At 44.7% G+C, this 17900-nt stretch overlaps 1 protein-coding gene across 1 annotated transcript in view, besides 6 other annotated features; it reads right to left on the bottom strand.

Annotated features, from left to right (window-relative positions):
• Window positions 1–15816, bottom strand: part of UBR3 (ubiquitin protein ligase E3 component n-recognin 3) — a 256678-nt gene extending 240862 nt beyond the window's left edge. Inside the window, exon 1 of the mRNA NM_172070.4 lies at window positions 15218–15816. Within this exon, the coding sequence (NP_742067.3) occupies window positions 15218–15762 (545 nt within the window). The 5' untranslated portion in view covers window positions 15763–15816. The remainder of the gene's footprint in view (window positions 1–15217) is intronic.
• Window positions 2893–3117: a silencer, noted in NCBI's record as "fragment chr2:170696663-170696887 (GRCh37/hg19 assembly coordinates)". NCBI's record gives its function as "represses an EF-1alpha promoter that drives an FKBP-Casp9 reporter gene in an ReSE screen in phorbol 12-myristate 13-acetate-treated (for megakaryocytic differentiation) K562 erythroleukemia cells {active_cell/tissue: K562(+PMA)}" and the evidence as "EXISTENCE:reporter gene assay evidence [ECO:0000049][PMID:32094911]".
• Window positions 13054–13553: an enhancer, noted in NCBI's record as "H3K4me1 hESC enhancer chr2:170686227-170686726 (GRCh37/hg19 assembly coordinates)". NCBI's record gives its function as "activates a minimal SCP1, AML or CMV promoter by ChIP-STARR-seq in naive H9 embryonic stem cells {active_cell/tissue: H9 hESC(naive)}" and the evidence as "EXISTENCE:reporter gene assay evidence [ECO:0000049][PMID:30033119]".
• Window positions 13554–14055: an enhancer, noted in NCBI's record as "H3K4me1 hESC enhancer chr2:170685725-170686226 (GRCh37/hg19 assembly coordinates)". NCBI's record gives its function as "activates a minimal SCP1, AML or CMV promoter by ChIP-STARR-seq in naive H9 embryonic stem cells {active_cell/tissue: H9 hESC(naive)}" and the evidence as "EXISTENCE:reporter gene assay evidence [ECO:0000049][PMID:30033119]".
• Window positions 15073–15202: a silencer, noted in NCBI's record as "silent region_12088". NCBI's record gives its function as "represses an Ori minimal core promoter by ATAC-STARR-seq in GM12878 lymphoblastoid cells {active_cell/tissue: GM12878}" and the evidence as "EXISTENCE:reporter gene assay evidence [ECO:0000049][PMID:35858748]".
• Window positions 15463–16022: a silencer, noted in NCBI's record as "silent region_12087". NCBI's record gives its function as "represses an Ori minimal core promoter by ATAC-STARR-seq in GM12878 lymphoblastoid cells {active_cell/tissue: GM12878}" and the evidence as "EXISTENCE:reporter gene assay evidence [ECO:0000049][PMID:35858748]".
• Window positions 17616–17819: a silencer, noted in NCBI's record as "fragment chr2:170681961-170682164 (GRCh37/hg19 assembly coordinates)". NCBI's record gives its function as "represses an EF-1alpha promoter that drives an FKBP-Casp9 reporter gene in an ReSE screen in K562 erythroleukemia cells {active_cell/tissue: K562}" and the evidence as "EXISTENCE:reporter gene assay evidence [ECO:0000049][PMID:32094911]".

Raw genomic sequence — 17900 nt, 5'->3', positions numbered from 1 at the left:
CTTCCCAGCCTTCAAACTGTAAGAAATAATTTCTGTTCTTTATTACTCAGTCTCAGGTATTTTGTTATAACAGCACAAAATGAACTAAGCCAGAAATTGATACGAAGAAATGATGTCGTTGCTATAATAAATACCTGAAAATGTGGAAGTGGCTTTTGAACTGGGTAATAGGTAGAGGCTGGAGTAGTTTTGAAGTGAATGCTAGGAAAAGCTTAGATTGCCATAAAAGAAGCATTAAGGATAGTTCCAGTGAGGGCTAAAAGGAAGAATGGAATGTTGGTAGAAATATGGATAGCAAAAGCCATTCTGATGATCTCTTAAACAGAAATGAGGAATATCGTATCAGAAACTGGAGGAAAGACCATTCTTTTTACAAAATGGCAAAAAAATTGGCTGAATTGTACCCATGTCCTACTGTGTCCAGAATTGGTGGGTTCTTGGTCTCACTGACTTCAAGAATGAAGCCGCGGACCCTCGCGGTGTTACAGCTCTTAAGGTGGCGTGTCTGGAGTCTGTCCCTTCTGATGTTCAGATGTGTTCGGAGTTTCTTCCTTCTGGTGGGTTCGTGGTCTCGCTGGCTCAGGAGTGAAGCTACAGACCTTCACGGTGAGTGTTACAGCTCTTAAGGCAGCGCGTCTGGAGTTGTTCGTTCCTCCTGGCGGGCTCGTGGTCTCGCTGGGCTCAGGAGTGAAGCTGCAGATCTTCACGGTGAGTGTCACAGCTCATAAAAGCAGCGTGGACCCAAAGAGTGAGCAGTAGCAAGATTTATTGCAAAGAGTGAAAGAACAAAGCTTCCACAGTGTGGAAGGGGACCCGAGAGGGTTGCCAATGCTGGCTAGGGCAGCCTGCTTTTATTCTCTTATCTGGCCCCACCCACATCCTGTTGATTGGTAGAGCCCAGTGGCCTGTTTTGTCAGGGCGCTGATTGGTGCGTTTACAATCCCTGAGCTAGATACAAAGGTTCTCCACGTCCCCATCAGATTAGTTAGATACAGAGTTTCGACACACAGGTTCTCCAAGGCCCCACGAGAGCAGCTAGATACAGAGTGTCGATTGGTGCACTCACAAACCTTGAGCTAAACACAGGGTGCTGATTGGTGTATTTACAAACCTTGAGCTAGACTTAAAGGTTCTCCACGTCCTCACCAGAGCAGCTAGATACAGAGTGTCGATTGGTGCACTCACAAACCTTGAGCTAAACACAGAGTGCTGATTGGTGTATTTACAATCCCTGAGCTAGATATAAAGACTCTCCACGTCCCCACCAGACTCAGGAGCCCAGCTGGCTTCACCTAGTGGATCCCGCACCGGGGCTACAGGTGGAGCTGCCTGCCAGTCCTGTGCCGTGCGCTCGCATTCCTCAGCCCTTGGGTGGTCGACGGGACTGGGCACCGTGGAGTAGGGGGTGGTGCTCGTCGGGGAAGCTCAGACCGCACAGGAGCCCATGGAGTGGGTGGGAGGCTTAGGCATGGCGGGCTGCAGGTCCCGAGCCCTGCCCCGCGGGAAGGCAGCCAAGGCCCGGAGAGAAATCGAGCACAGCGCCGGTGGGCCGGCACTGCTGGGGGACTCAGTACACCCTCCGCAGCCACTGGCCCGGGTGCTAAGTCCCCCATTGCCCGGGGCCAGCAGGGCTGGCTGGCTGCTCCGAGTGCAGGGCCCACCAAGCCCACGCCCACCCGGAACTCCAGCTGGCCCGCAAGCGCCGCACGCAGCCCCAGTTCCGGCTCGTGCCTCTCCCTCCACACCTCCCTGCAGGCTGAGGAAGTGGGCTCCAGCCTTGGCCAGCCCAGAAAGGGGCTCCCACAGTGCAGTGGGGGGGCTAAAGGGCTCCTCAAATGCCACCAAAGTGGGAGTCCAGGCAGGGGAGGTGCCGAGAGCAAGCGAGGGCTCTGAGGACTGCCAGCACGCTGTCACCTCTCACTACCACCTTGTGAAAGGCAAAATTTAAGAGCTATAAACTAGGATATTTAGCAGAAAAAAATCTCTAAGCAAAGTGTTCAGGATACTGCATGGCTTCTCTTGGCTGCTTATAGTAAAATCCAAGGAGAGACAATGAGGTGAAGATGAAATTTATAATCAAAAAAGACATAGAATGTAAAGATTTGGAAAATTCTCAACCAGGCCAGGTAAAGAATAAAAAAGCATGCTTAGGAGAAAAAAAATCCAAGGGCGTGGCAAAGGTGTGACTGTTTCGTCAAGACAGTGGAAGAATGACCCCAAAAGCTGTTGAGATCTTTGAGACAGCCATACCCACCACAGGTCCAGAATGCTAGGGCCTTGAGGGTAGAACTGTTTCAAGGGAGGGGCCCAGGGTACCTGTGGAGCCTCAGGGCTTGCTGCACAGCACCACCTCAAGTCTCTGCTCCCTGCATTCCAGTGCAGTGCTCCTTGCACCCCACCTGTAGTTCAAGTGGGCCCAGATGCTGCTAAGGCTGCCACTCCCAAAGGAACAAGCAGTAAGCAGCCTTCCCAGTGTCCACATGTTGCTAACTCTGCAGGCTGTGGAGGCATGGCTTCCTCCACCTAAATTTCCAAGGATGTACCAGAGAGCCTGAGGCCCAAGCAGAGAACTGTCACAGGGCAGGTCAGCAGCAGAGTCCACACGAAGGCAATGCCTAGTGGTGTCCGCGGTGGGGGGAAGGGGCAGGTCCACCAGAGAGAGTCTCCACAAGGGCAACACCCAGTAGAGCTATGGGGGCAGGGTTGCCCCCAAAACCCCAGAACCATAGTCACATAGTCACCAACCTGCAACTCCAGCCTGGGAGAACCACGGGTACCTGATTCCAACCGGTGAGAGGTACAGTGTGGACTGCACCCAAGAGAGGCTACAGGGGTGGAGCCACCCGGAGGAGCCTTGTGTCAGAGCAGGAGCACCGACATCTCGGTCAGATACCGCCACTTTAGTTCCAGCTCCCTTTCTAGCCTCATGCATTTCAAGGAAATAACTTCTCTGCTAACTACAAGCAGCCAGAAAGAGCAGACAGTAAAACACAGATAAGACAGCTCAGGCCCAGAGGGAGGTGGGGGGAAAGTCTCTTGAGTAACTGCCAAACTTCAGGCTCATACAATGGGCCCCAGTAAAACAGTGGGCCTTAATAAGCACATCCCTTTCCCTTCAAGTGCACTAAGATAGGGAAGCTAAAAGCAGACTCGGGAGGTATGCCTGTAGCTGCAGAAAAAAGTATGGGAACAGACACACAACTCTCCCTCCCAGATAAGCACAACAAAGAGACACAGAAGCAGTCCAAGCCTCCCACCCTGAATCCTTAAAAACTCTTAGTTGTAAGACAGTGGGCCTAACTCTGCCAGAAGGTTCCTCTCAGGTTTGTTTTCTCTAAAATAAATCTGTCTTGACCAGCAAGCCACCTTTCGTGTTTCTTTCCTCTTTCTTTAATTCTTACACCTTGGGGACCCAACCCCCAACACAGTGTGTCCAGAAAGCAAGACAATTATTCTCAAGCCTTAAGATTTAATGTTGTTTGCCTTACTGAGTTTTACACTTACTTGTGATCTGTCACTCCTCTCTTCTTGCCTGTTCCTCCCTTCATAATGAACACATCTGTGCTTGCCTCTCACCATTGCACTATATGTGTGTGTGTGTGTTTTATTTGATGCATAATAGATGTACATAGTTTCTGAGTACATGTAATAATGTAATACATTCATATAATTTGTAAAGATCAAATCAATGTACTTGGAATACCACTACCTTAAATATTTGTCTTTTTATGCTACAGCCATTCAAATTCTTCTCTTCTAGCTATTTTGTAATTTACAATGGATTATTGTAAACTACAGTTACCCTACTGATAGATACTATCTAACATTAGGTCTTATTTCTTCCATCAAACCATATATTTGTATCCACTAATTAACTTATCTTTATCCCCCTCCTCCTTTCTACCCTTCCCTCTGGTAACCACCAATCTACTCTTTATCTTCATGAGATCCACTTTTTTAACTCCCACACATGAGTGAGAACATGTGATATTTGTCTTTCTGCCCTTGGTTTATTTCACTTAACATAATGACCTCCAGTCCCACCCATGTTGCTACAAATGACAAGATTTCATTATTTTTGTGGCTGAATAATATTCCATTGTGCATATATACCACATTTTCTTTATCCATTCTTCCATTGGTGGGCATTTAAGTTGATTCCATATTTTGGCTACTATGAATGGTGCTGCAATAAGCATGGGACTTCAGGTCTCTTTTCCATATATTGATTTCCCTTTTTTTGGATATATACTCAGTAGTGGAATTACTGGATCACATGGTAATCTATTTTTAGTTTTCTGAGGAACCTCATACTGTTCTCCACAGTGGCTGTACTATTAATAATTTACATTCCCACCAACAGTGTAGACACTGTGTTTTGAAAGCAGGTAACTTGTTTGACTTCACAGGTTCACAGCTAGAGAGAAATCTGCCACAGGATGAAGCGTATCTTTGAGTCTCACCGTATCTGATTGAAATGATGTTTAGATGAGACTCAACTTTAGACTTTTGAGCTGGTGCTAGAACAAGTTAAGACTTCTGGAGTTACTGGAATGGAATGAATGTATTTGTATGTGAAAAGGACATAAACTTTTTGGGGGCGAGGGGCAGAGGCAGAGCACCAGTCTGAACGTGTGTCCCCTACAAAATTCACATTGAAACTTAATCTCCACTGTGGTGGTATTAAGAGGCGGAAGCCTTTGGGGATGTGATTAAGTCATGAGGGCTCTGCCTTAAGCAAGTGCTGGAGGGAACTACCTTAGGCCCTGTTTGCCCTCTTCCCCGCTTCTGCCATGTGAGTATGCAAGAAGGCCTCACCAGACACACACACACACACACACACACACACACACACACACACACACACACACACACACACACAAATGCCTTAATCTTGGACTTCCCAGCTTCCAGACTGGAATAAATAAATTTCTGTTCTAAATTACTCCGTCTGATGTAACAGCAGCACAAACAGACTAAGATGGATGGCAATTTATGTATTCTGCCATAAAGTATTCCATTGAATGATTAAACTACAGTTCACTAATCTCACTGTTTCCATTTTTCCCTATTTCAGTGTTACAATGAACATACTTGAACATGTATCTTTCTGCAACCTCCTCATATTTAATGTGATGCCAGTCAACATCTTAACAGAAGTTTTCCAGAGAACTTGACAAGCTCCTGAAATTCAAATGAAAACAGGAACCAAGAACAGCCAAAAACCCTTTTGAAGACTAATAATAAGGAAATCCTGCCATATCAAAATACATTTTAATGTTCTAATAAAGTAGTATGGTATTGTTATAAGAGACATATCAATACAATAGAGAACTTAGGACACACATAGGTTTGGTCTGTGATAGAGGTGACATTATAGATCAATGGAGGAAAAAAATGTTCAATAAGTGAATCCTCATATTGAAAAAGATAAAATTAGATCTAATGATATGGTTTGGTTGTGTCCCCACCCAAAATCTCATCCTGAATTGTAATCCCCATAATCCCCACACGTCAAGGGTGGGATGAGGTGGAGGTAACTGGATGATGGGGATGGTTTGCCCTATGTTGTTCTCATGATAGTGAGTGAGTTCTCACGAGATGTAATGGTTTTATAAGCATCTGGCATTTCCCCTGCTCGCTTCTCCCCCCCTGCTGCTCTGTGACTAGGTGCCTTCTACCATGATTCTACGTTTCCTAAGGCCTCCCCAGCCATGCTGAACTGTGAGTCAATTAAACCTCTTTCCTTTATAAATCACCCAGTCTCCAGCCGTTCTTTTTCCTTTTCTTTTTGAGACGGAGATTTCCTCTTGTTGCCCAGGCTGGAGTGCAATGGCGTGATCGCGGCTCACCGCAACCTCTGCCTCCCAGGTTCAAGCAATTCTCTTGCCTCAGCCTCCCGAGAAGCTGGGATTACAGCCACACGCCACCACACCCGGCTAATTTTGTATTTTTAGTAGAGATGGGGTTTCTCCATGTTGGTCAGGCTGGTCTCGAACTCCCGACCTCAGGTGATTCACCTGCCTCGGCTTCCCAAAGTGCTGGGATTACAGGCGTGAGCCTCCGGGCCCGTTCAGGCAGTTCTTTATAGCAGTGCGAAAACAGACTAATACAGACCTCAATCTCATACTACATGTAAAAATAAATTCCAGATGGACAAAAGACCTAAGTGTACAATGAAAAACCTTAAATCTTTCAGTAGAAAACATATAAGCATTTTTTTAAACCAAGGTGAAGAAGATTTCTTTAACAAGATACAAATAATACAAACTGTAGAAGAAAAACTACATTTTTAATTTAAAATCGTTTACAACAAAATTATATATTTCAAGGTAAAAAGACAAGACACAAACTAGAAGATGAAATTAAGTATTTATACAACAAAGGATCAGCATCTAGAGTATGTACAGCATTCTTAAAACTCAGTAAAACAGAAAAACAAAACAGGCAAATAATATGAACCAGCAGTTCACCAAGAAAGAAGCCCAAATGGCCCCAAAACATATGAAAAGATGTTCAACTTTACTAGTCAAGAAAATATAAATTTTAAAAAGATGTTTGTATCCAACAGATTGGTAAAATATTATAAATTTATATATATAACACCAAGTGTCTTTTGGTTTTTTTTTTTTTAAGTTCTGAATTACATGTGCAGGATGTACAGGTTACATAGGTAAATGGTTGCTGTGGTGGTTTGCTGCACCTATCAACTCATCAACTAGGTATGAAGCCCAGCATGCATTAGCTATTTTTTCTGATGCTCTCCCTCTCCCTGCCCCCGACCCAACAGGCCCCTGTGTGTGTTGTTCCCTTCGTGGTGTCCATGTGTTCTCATTAACACCAAGTTTCAATAAGCAGAAAAACAAGACCTCAAATTCCTGGTGGGGCCAGGCGTGGTAGCCCATGCCTGTAATTCCAGCACTCTGGGAGGCTGAGGCGGGAAGATCACCGGAGGTCAGGAGTTCGAGACCAGCCTGGCCAATATGGTGAAACCCCCATCTCTACTAAAAATATGAAAATTAGCTAGGCATGGTGGCGGCCGCCTGTAATCCCAGCTACTCAGGCGGCTGAGGCAGGAGAATTGCTTGAACTCAGGAGGCGGAGGTTGCAGTGAGCCGAGATCGCACCATTGCACTCCAGCCTGAGTCTGATGGGGACAGAGCGAGTTTCCATCTCAAAAAAAAAAAAAAAAAAAAAAAAAATATATATATATATATATATATATAGAGAGAGAGAGAGAGAGAGAGAGAGAGAGAGAGAGAGAGAGAGAGAGAGACAGTGCACACAGGAATTTCAGGAAAATGGTTAACGTCTGGAGAGGAAAAGAGAAAGGGAAAGGTGGGTTGACCTTTCTTTGGTTTTTTGACTAAAAGCAACTCTAGAGCAAACATGGCAAAAGGTTAATATCTATTCATCTCAATGGTAAGTACAAAGGTATCTGTTATACTACTTTTGTACTTTTCTGTAAATTCAAATTGTTTCATAATTGAAAATAGTTTTAACTGAGTTTTATAATGATTTAAAAATTAGGCCACGCACGGTGGCTCACGCCTGTAATCCCAGCACTTTGGGAGGCCAAGGCAGGTGGATTGCCTGAGGTCAGGAGTTCCAGACCAGCCTGACCAATATGGTGAAACCCCACCTCTACTAAAAATACAAAAATTAGCTGGGCATGGTGGCATGCACCTGTAGTCCCTGCTACTAGGGAGGCTGAGACAGGAGAACCGCTTGAACTCAGGAGGCAGAGGTTGCAGTGAGCCGAGATCATGCAACTGCACTCCAGCCTGGCAACAGAGTGAGACTCCATATCAAAACAAACAAACAAACAAAATATGAATATTTTAGGTGTAGTATTGGTATTGTGGTTTTGGGGGAGTTGTTTGTTTTTTGCTTTCTTTTCAAGAGATGAGGTCACTTCATGTTGCTGAGGCTGGAGTGCAGTGACTATTCCCAGGTGTGATCATAATCCACTGCAGCCTCTTACTCCCAGCCTCAAGCAATACTCCCAACTCAGCCTCGGGAGTAGCTGGGACTACAGGTGCGAGCCACCATACCTGACATTATTTTTTAATTGTGGTAAAATATAAATAACATAAAATTTACCATTTAAAACATCTTAAGTGTACAGTTTTAGTGGCATTAAGTACATTCACATTGTTTTGCAACCATCACAACCATCGATCTCAAGGACTTTTTCATCTTCCCAAACTGAAACTCTGTACCTGTTAAAAAAATAACTCCCCAATCTCCCCTTCCCTTGGCCTCTGATAATCACTATTCTACTTTCTGTCTGTATGAATTTGACTATTCCGGGCACTTCATATAGACCGAAGCATACAAGCATTTGTTCTTTTGTGCTGGGCCTATTTCATTTGGCATAAGGTCTTCAAGGTTTATCTACATTGTAACATTCTAATGTGTCAGAATTTTATTACTTTTTAAGGTTAAATATTCCATTGTACGTATATTCCACATATTGCTTACCCATTCATCTGCTGATGGACATTTGAGTTATGTTTTAGAGTTCACATCTCTTTACTGAGATGCATACTCAAATATTTTTAAATTAAATTATAAGGTATCTGATATTTGCTTCAAAATAGTCCTGGCTGGGACGAAAAAGCAGTGGGACAGGGAGATAACAGATGAAATGGGATATAACTTTTCACTTATGAGAGCAGCAAAGATCAGAAACACTGATACCACCATATATACTGCCAGAATATGGGGAAACAAATTGTTTCATACATTGTTGGCAGGAATGTAAATTAATTTCTTTGGAGGGTTCTATCAAAGTTGAATTTGCAAATTTCCTTCAACCAAGATATAACTTCTAGGAATGTATCCTCATACATAAGCTCACACACATATGAACAAGTGTATACAAGAATACTGACTGCAACAATGTTTACAACAGCCCAAGTCTGGAAACAATTTAAATGTCTATCAGTAGGGACTGACCGCAAAAATCATAGTACATTACAAAAACATGGAAATACAATGAAATACTATTTAACTTTAAAAATGAAGCAGTTCTACTTTTGAGATAGTATCCATAAATATGTTAAGGGGAAAAAAGCAAGCTACTGAAGAGAGTAACACTATTCAACCAGACATTCACGTGGTTCAATTTCTGGCTACCACAGATCAGAAAACCTAAAAACCTCCCACAACACAGGCCAGGCACCACACTGTGGCTCACGCCTATAATCCCAGCTCTTTGGGAGGCTGAGGCAGGTAGACTGCTTGAAGCCAGGAGTTCAAGACCAGCCTGGCCAACATGGTGAAATACCATCTCTACAAAAAATACAAAAAGAAATTTAGCTGTGTGTGGTGGTGTGCGCCTACAGTCACAGCTACTTGGGAGGGTGAGGTGGGAGATCACTTGAGCCTGGGAGGTAGAGGCTGCAGTGAGCTGTGATATCACACCACTGCACTCCAGCCTGGGAGACACTGCGAGAACCTGTCACTAAAAAAAAAAAAAATCTAGAAATGCTGGATAAATTATAACTAATCTCTTTTAAACACATAAGTAACCTTAAAAGAAAAGGAAATTTCTTACTGAGGGGTAGGATGGAGAAAGGCACCTTTACTTTTTACTTTATCCACTTATTTTTATGTTATAATCAATGTGTATTACTTCTGAAACTAAAAAAAGAATGAAAGCACTCTGAAAAAAGCTGCTATGGATTTAATAATCAATGCCACCTCATGAGTAACTAAAGCAATGTAATCTTACAGTAACTTTTTGGGTATAGCAGCCACTTTTTTATCCAATTTAATTCAAAATTACTGACACCTCCTAAGTACAAGAGACTTAGTAGGTGCTGGCCTCTGGCTAATAGCAAAATGTGGTCCTTATCTTTTAAGGAGCTTAGAATATGTGAGGAAGAACAAGCAAGGAGACAAAAATATCTGTAATATAGGACAGAACATGAAACTCCTCATTCTCTGCACCAAAATTTGAGAACTAAATGTTTAAAATCCCAGTTTCCAGTTAGTATCCCATCAGAGCCCAAAACCAGCTAGTCAGACATTACAGTTGACCCTTGAACAACACTAGTTTGAACTACAAGGGTCCACTTATACAAGGATTTTTTTAACTAAACATGGATCAAAAATGCAGAATTCATGGGATCTGACACTCACATACATGAAGGGCAGACTTTTCATATAAGCAGCATTTCAGTATACCCTGAAGAGTGGGTGGGAGGTGGGTATTCTGGAACCAGTCTCCTATGTATACCATATACTGAGGAACGAGTGTATTTTAGACTTTCCATTACAGGTTATTTTGTTTTGAGTTCATCCACCCATAAAGCATTTTTTTTTTTTCCAGATGGAGTTTCACTCTTGTTGCCCAGGCTGGAGTGCAATGGCATGATCTTGGCTCACTGTAACCTCCGCCTCCTGGGTTCAAGCAATTCTCCTGTCTCAGCCTCCAGAGTAGCTGGGATTACAGGCATGCACCATCATGCCCAGATAATTTTGTATTTTTAGTAGAGATGGGGTTTCTCCATGTGGTCAGGCTGGTCTTGAACTCCCGACTTAAGGTGATCCGCCTGCCTCGGCCTCCCAAAGTGCTGGGATTACAGGTGTGAGCCACCACGCCCGGCCCCCATAAAGCATTTCTGACAATGACTGCACTTACTCACTAGTGGCAAAACTGTAGTTATACATACAGTTTTTTTGTTTTTTTTCCTGAGACAGAGTCACGCTCTGTCGCCCAGGCTGGAGTGCAGTGGCGGGATCTCACTCCAAGCTCACTCCAAGCTCACTCCAAGCTCCGCCTCCCGGGTTCACGCCATTCTCCTGCCTCAGCCTCCCGAGTAGCTGGGACTACAGGCACCCACCACCACGCCTGACTAATTTTTTGTATTTTTAGTAGAGACGGGGTTTCACCATGTTAGCCAGGATGATCTCAATCTCCTGACTTCGTGATCTGCCCACCTCGGCCTCCCAAAGTGCTGGGATTGCAGGCGTGAGCCACCGCGCCCAGCCACATACAGTTATTAGCACACAATTTCCATAGCCTTTGTGATTTCATCCCACAAATGAATCCTCAATTGTTTTCTTCCTTTGGTTTGTATATCTGCTAATACTGCCACATTGATTATATCAATACTACTCAGTCAAAAATAACTAAATCCTCCCCACAGTTCTATAATTGCTAATTTGAAAATTAAATATAAATACAGCTGTGATAGATTCAAGATTCTTCTCCATCTCCAATCAAGAACATCCTACAGGCAACAGTCAGACACTGGTGAAAAGGATTATGGCACAGAAAGATTTATTCTCATTTACTAAGAGCACAAATACAGCTGAAAAAAAGGAATCCTTCCTCTAAAAGTGACTAAACCATGAAATTTACAAACTTATGGCAGTTAGAATAAAAACCCCAAAATCAACACACATTCAATCTTTGGCAATCTAAAGGGGTTTTTAAAATACCAAAAACTTAGAAAAGTTCAAACATTCTGTTCATGCCAGTGTAGTCCAGCTTTGCCCATGAGAACACTGTTACAAGCTGTTGATGATTTCCAGTTCTAAAAAGGTTCCAGAGGCAGTCTTTTAGGTTGCAGAGCTGGTCAACATCACCTATTTCTCTTGAGGCAGTAAATTAGCTGTATAGCCCAGGAAAATTACTCTATCCAATCCAAGCAGTTAGAAAAAATTCAGAGTAATTGCATGGCCACAATACTGTTTATTGTTCAATCTTGCCCTTTATGAAACTGGACATGGCAACTGCTGACACATACAGGCAATAGCTCTGGTTTCAGACAAAGATAATAATAAATCTTTAAATATTATGTATCCGGCCGGGTGTGGTGGCTCATGCCTGTAATCCCAGCACTTTGGGAGGCCGAGGCGGGTGGATCACCTAAGGTCAGGAGTTCAAGACCAGCCTGACCAACATGGAGAAACCCTGTCTTTACTAAAAACACAAGAAAAAAAAAAAATTAGCCGGGTGTGGTGGCGCATCCCTGTAATCCCAGCTATTTGGAAGGCTGAGGTAGAGAATCACTTGAACCCGGGAGGCAGAGGTTGCGGTGAGCCAAGATCGTGCCACTGCAATCCAGCCTGGGCAACAAGAGCAAAACTCTCTCTCTCAAAAAAAAAAAAAAAAAAAAAAAAAAAATATATATATATATATATATAATGTACCAACTCATAGAGGGTTGCCAGACTGGGAAAATAATACTTACCTATGAGACACCAGTAAAAGCAAATACCATGAGGTTAGGATGTTGACTGTCTATAGCCTGGATGCCCTAAAACTGTATGAATACCTTCAAAGAAACTCACTGACATATTTCTGGTAGTACACTGAAGCATCACAAGCGATCAGACTTCCATCTCATCCACGACAACCTGATAATTACCACTGTATTCCAAAAGTCAGGAAAGAATCAGTGTTATTTCCTACCTTCAGGTTCTCTGGAGGCTTTCCTAAATGCTAACCCAGTCCAAGAAGTAAAAATGTCTAAATATCAGTAAAGGATTGCTCCAACTCCTGTTTTGATGTGCCTCTTTAAAACAAAACAAACAAAAAAAGTTTAAAAAGAAAGAAACAAAGGCCCAAATAAGAATAGCATATTAAGGAAAAAAAAAAAGATAAAACATAGAATTGAAAAGAAAAACCAGTAAGAATGCTATTTAGTAGGGGCAGTAAAGAGAAATGGTTGATTAGTCTGGCTCCAGAGCCCTGGAGCCAGCATGCCTAGCTTACTGCCTGTGTGAACTTGAGCAAGGTTTTTAACTCTGCCCTACTTTCCTCTTCTGTACAATGAGAATAATAAAAGTAATAATCTCAGAGTCAAAGAATAAATAAGTTAAATCACATAAAACAGCTAGAATTTGGCCACTTTTAACCAAATAGATAAAAGTCCAAAATTTTACTACTACTCTGTTGATGAGGCTGTTGGAAAACAGGCAGTCTCACAGAGTAATTAGTACTAAGCCTTAGGGAGGGCAATTTGGAAATCACACTTTTGAGAATTTATCCCACTGACTCTCTTGACCAGGTGGGGAAAAGACAGATACACCACGTTTTTAATTTTATACTGGAAAGCCAAATGCCCATGAAGAGACATTAAATCAAGAATGGCAAATTCACACGCACAAAAAATAAAAATAAAAATAAAAAAAGAAATTAAAGAATGGCAAATTGAAAACATGGAACACTATGCAGCAGTTTTTTTAAAAAAATAGAATGACGACACTGATTTTTTAATAGGAAAAATACATCTAAGATAACCAAAAAATGCAAGATGTAGAACAGTGGAAAGTATGTAACCCTTTGCATAAAAAGAGACTGAAAAACTAGGAAACATCTTTGCTTGTTCTGCACCAAGAGAAACTAAGCGGGAAGGAACTGGACAGATAGAAGACTAGATGTGAGAAAAACTTCCGTGTGTGTGTGTGTGTGTGTGTGTGTGTGTGTGTGTGTGTACTTTTTAGCTATATATTTTACCTATTCAAATATTAAATTTTAAAAAGTACTTTTAAAGTATCAGACATACAGTTCAAGAACTCAAATGTTGGCCGGGCGCGGTGGCTCACGCCTGTAATCCCAGCACTTGGGAGGCCGACGCGGGCGGATCACCTGAGGTCGGGAGTTCGGGACTAGCCTGACCGACATGGAGAAACCCTGTCTCTACTAAAAAAATACAAAATTAGCCAGGCGTGGTAGTGCATGACTGTAATCCCAGCTACTTGGGAGGCTGAGGCAGGAGAATCGCTTGAACCCAGGGGGCGGAGGTTTCAGTGAGCCGAGGTCGCGCCATTGCACTCCAGCTTGGGCAACAAGAGAGAAACTCCGTCTCAAAAAAAAAAAAAAAAAACTCAAATGTTAGCTGCAATTATGTTGTTATTATTATTAGCAAATTCAAAATACCTCCTTTCTGAAGACTTTTTCTTACTCCCTCTGCACAGAAACCTCATCTCCCTCCTCTAGCTACCAAGTTATTGTTTAAGGAATTTATTACTTTCTACTCCAGTGCAAGTAGAGTAAGGGGTTGGTCAATGTTTCATTCATTTTTAATATCCAAGAAGCCTTGCTTGCACATAGTAGGTACAAACATTTTGGAGTAACAGTAACCTTACAAGTACTCCGAAGAAAAAGGTGACCATTTATAAAAAGATTGTACTCTGTCATTAATCCTAAGACCTGAAAATTGAAGAAGTTTAATAACTGATAGCAACCTGTAGTTGCTAATATTCTTTCAACTACTGCCCATCCAAAATCGCCCCTTTCACTTTTTCCTTTTTTCTCAGACTGTCCCTGACATTGACATCATGTTCCAAGCCACGACCCTACATGTACCAACTCTCTGTAACTCACTGCAAACTCTGAAATGTCTTTTCTCATAAGTCCCAACATCTGATGCATCGCTTCTGTCAAAAGGGCATTTGTTGTCTCCTTTTAGACAGAGGTTCACGTATCAGTGAGTGAACAAAGTGCCCTTAACTGGAGAAGACCTAACACTTGATTCCTGGTTCGCTCAGTATTTTGTTTGTTCTCCTGGTATGGAGGGTATTCTGTAACTGACTGCTCAGTAGCCCAATTCTAAATGTCATTCCAGCATACCAAATAATCCACTGACAGCTCAACAGTCACTTTTCATGCAGGCCCCTCCCCTTCCCTCCTCCCTCAACCCTCAAGAGCTCCTTCTCTCACAGTGACAGACACACTGGCAGTTCAGAAGACCTTTTCCTCAAGCGTCCTTCCCTGCACGTACAAGACCACCTCCCCAGCTCTCATCATCCCGCGAGCCAATACGGTCCCCAATAACATCCCCTCCCAGCCAATCCAAATCACAACCTAAGTCTCTTCCCAAGAACCAGGCTTTACAGCCTTTCCCAACAAGTACACACTTGACAGCTCGACACGAGCTTCCCCAAAAATCATTTCCCCTCACTCCCCTCCTACCCCATACACTGGCTCTTTTCTCGCTATCATTTACCCACCCTGGCTTCCCCAAAATTCACAGCCCGGTTTCCTAAACATGCTCTCCGCTCTCCTCTCCCCTCCTTCTCCTCCCCACCCCCTTTCCACCGCTGACAGCTCAGTCACCTCCATCCCCCTGTGGCTGCACCCTCCCCCGCACCCTCCCCTTGACAGCTCAGAGTGGGCTCCCAGTGCTCCGCTCCAGGCCCTCCCGCGACGTCCCCGGCCCAGGGTCGCCTCGCCCGCGGGGAGGGCTCCACTCACCCGCTCTCCCGCATCACGTTGCTGTCCCCGCAGTCGCAGGCGCCCCCGGCCTGGCTGCGGAACATGTTGAAGTCGTGTCCGGTGTGGTCGCCCTGGTGGAAGCACTCGGCGCACAGCGACATGCAGGGCGAGATGCCGCACGTCCGGCAGCGGTAGGCCACGAAGTTGGCTGTCCAGACCAGGCCGCAGAGCGCCGCGGGATCGTAGGCCCGCACCGCCGCGCAGAACTCGTCGTAGCCGCCGCCGCCCGCCAGAAGGCACTTACACCACTCCAGGGCCTCCTCCTCGGCCGCCCCCGGACCGCCCCCGCCTCCGGCCGCCGCCGCGTCCTCGCCGCCGGCAGCCGCGGCCAGCGGCCGCTCGGCGCTCAGCACCCGCTCCAGCAGCGCCTGCAGCTCCTCAGCACCTGCGCGGTTGTCCGGCCGGCTGAGGGCCGCCTTGAGGTGCGCGGCGGTGGCCGCCTTGTCTAGGGCCAGCCCCGGCGCGGGCAGCTCGGGCTGTGACGGCTGCTGGCCCCCGACGGCCGCCGCGGCCGCCGCCGCCATGATGAGAGCTCAGAATTTGGAGAGTCCAGGGCCAGCGGCTCCTCCAGGGAGAGTGAGGGAATAGACTGCTGCGATTGCTCGGCCCGCCCAACTCTCGCGATACCCGGAGCGTCCGCGCTCCTCCGCCCGCAGCCCCGCCCCTACACACGCCCCCTCGGGCTGCAGAGCCTTCCTCCCGCCCCTCTCTCCTGGGCGCCTGTGGACCAAGCTAGGCTCCCAACTTTCTAAGTTAAGAGCTACTGAAATAAAGTACTCACCTTATAGGAAATCTTTAATAAGGGCAATTATTTCTTTATTTGCATAGACTACAGGAATTATTCACATCATCTTTCAGATGTACTTTAGGCATCTGCATTTTGTCTGAGATGTACATTCCTACTGTTATCAAAGTCCAGCGGGCGACAGAATGAAACCCCAACTTAAGGAAAACAAAAACTGTAGGAAAAGCAATCCAAAGAAGAACAGAAGGCCAGGCGCGGTGGCTCACGCCTGTAATCCCAGCACTTTGGGAGGCCGAGGCAGGCGGATTACTTGAGGTGAGGAGTTTGAGATCAGCCTGGCTGACATGGTGAAACCCTGTCTCTACTAAAAATACAAAAATTAGCCGGGCATGGTGGCGCACGCCTGTAATCCCAGCTACTCCGGAGGCTGAGGCAGGAGAATCACTTGAACCCAGGAGGCGGGGGTTGTAGTGAGCCGAGATCGCGCCACTGCACTCCAGCCTGGGTGACAAAGCGAGACTCCGTCTCTAAAAACAACAACAACAACAACAACAACAAAGAAGAACAGGAGTGTTTCCAATCCATAACCTTGTGTTTGAAATGAATGAAACATAATTAAAACAGGTTATTCCTGGTCTTCTACATGAGTTAAGTATGTCACGATCATCATATAACAGTGATAAGTTAAATTTGCTCAATAATTTTACGAATCACTAAATTATAAACTAAATAAAACTTTATGTATTAACTTTACATGCTAAAACTTTGTATGTTTTAACTCATTTGATTCTCATAACAGATAACTTTGAATTCTGCTATTCCTAGAAGTAGCAGCCTCAGACACTTCTCTACTTCGTCATCGTCCATTCACTCTTTTTCTTCTTCCTATAATAATGCAAAGAGGTGTCCATCCACAGGCTTAAACGCAATCCTGCAATCCTTTTACTTAACCACTGGATCCTGCCTTCTCAGGATCCCAACTCCATCCAATATCCTCTTGCATTTTTAACCCCTCTCTTTCTATTAGCTCAATTCTTGTCAGAATTTGTCTCCTCCTGTCTTAAAAATAATTGAAAAAATAATAAAGCTTCCCCCATTACTAAGCATCCAACCATTCTTTTCGTAGGCCACCTTTCTCTTTCTCTTTCTTTTCTTCTTTCTTTTTTTTTTTTTTTTTTTTGAGACAGGGTCTCACTGTCGACCAGACTGGAGTGCAGTGGCGCAATTTCAGATCACTGGAAGCTTTGCCTCCCGGGCTCAAGCGATTTTCCCACCCCAGCCACCCGAGCAGCTGGGACCACAGGCTCGCGTCATCAGACCCAGCTAATTTTTGTATTTTTAGTAGAGACAGGGTCTCCTTATGTTGCCCAGGCTGGTCTCAAACTCCCGTCTCAAGCAATCCGCCCATCTCGGCCTCCCAAAATGTTGGGATCACAGGGGTGAGCCACCGCTTCCGGGGCCACGTTTAATTGTTCACATTTACTCTTTCTTCTTCCTAAATTTCCATTCGCTCCACAATCTGCTACAACTTAATTTCTGCTCCTACTTTATGAAGCCCGACCTCTTTCCAGTATTTGACACCACTACCTATTCTTTTATTTTCATTTCCACTGTCTTTTTTTTTTTGAGACGGAGTCTCGCTCTGTCTCCCAGGCTGGAGTGCAGTAGCTTGATCTCGGCTCACTACAAGCTCCGCCTTCCGGGTTCACGCCATTCTCCTGCCTCAGCCTCCCGAGTAACTGGGACTACAGGCGCCCGCCACCAAGCCCGGCTAATTTTTTTGTAATTTTAGTAGGGACAGGGTTTCACCGTGTTAGCCAGGATGGTCTCAATCTCCTGACCTCGTGATCCACCCACCTCGGCCTCCCAAAGTGCTGGGATTACAGGCGTGAGCCGCCGCGCCCTGCCTCTCCACTA

The sequence above is a fragment of the Homo sapiens genome, chromosome 2, assembly GCF_000001405.40.
Source record: "Homo sapiens chromosome 2, GRCh38.p14 Primary Assembly".
Classification (NCBI taxonomy): Eukaryota; Metazoa; Chordata; class Mammalia; order Primates; family Hominidae; genus Homo; species Homo sapiens.
The sequence above is the reverse complement of the archived record's forward strand: the minus strand, read 5'-3'. Positions and strand labels throughout refer to the sequence as shown.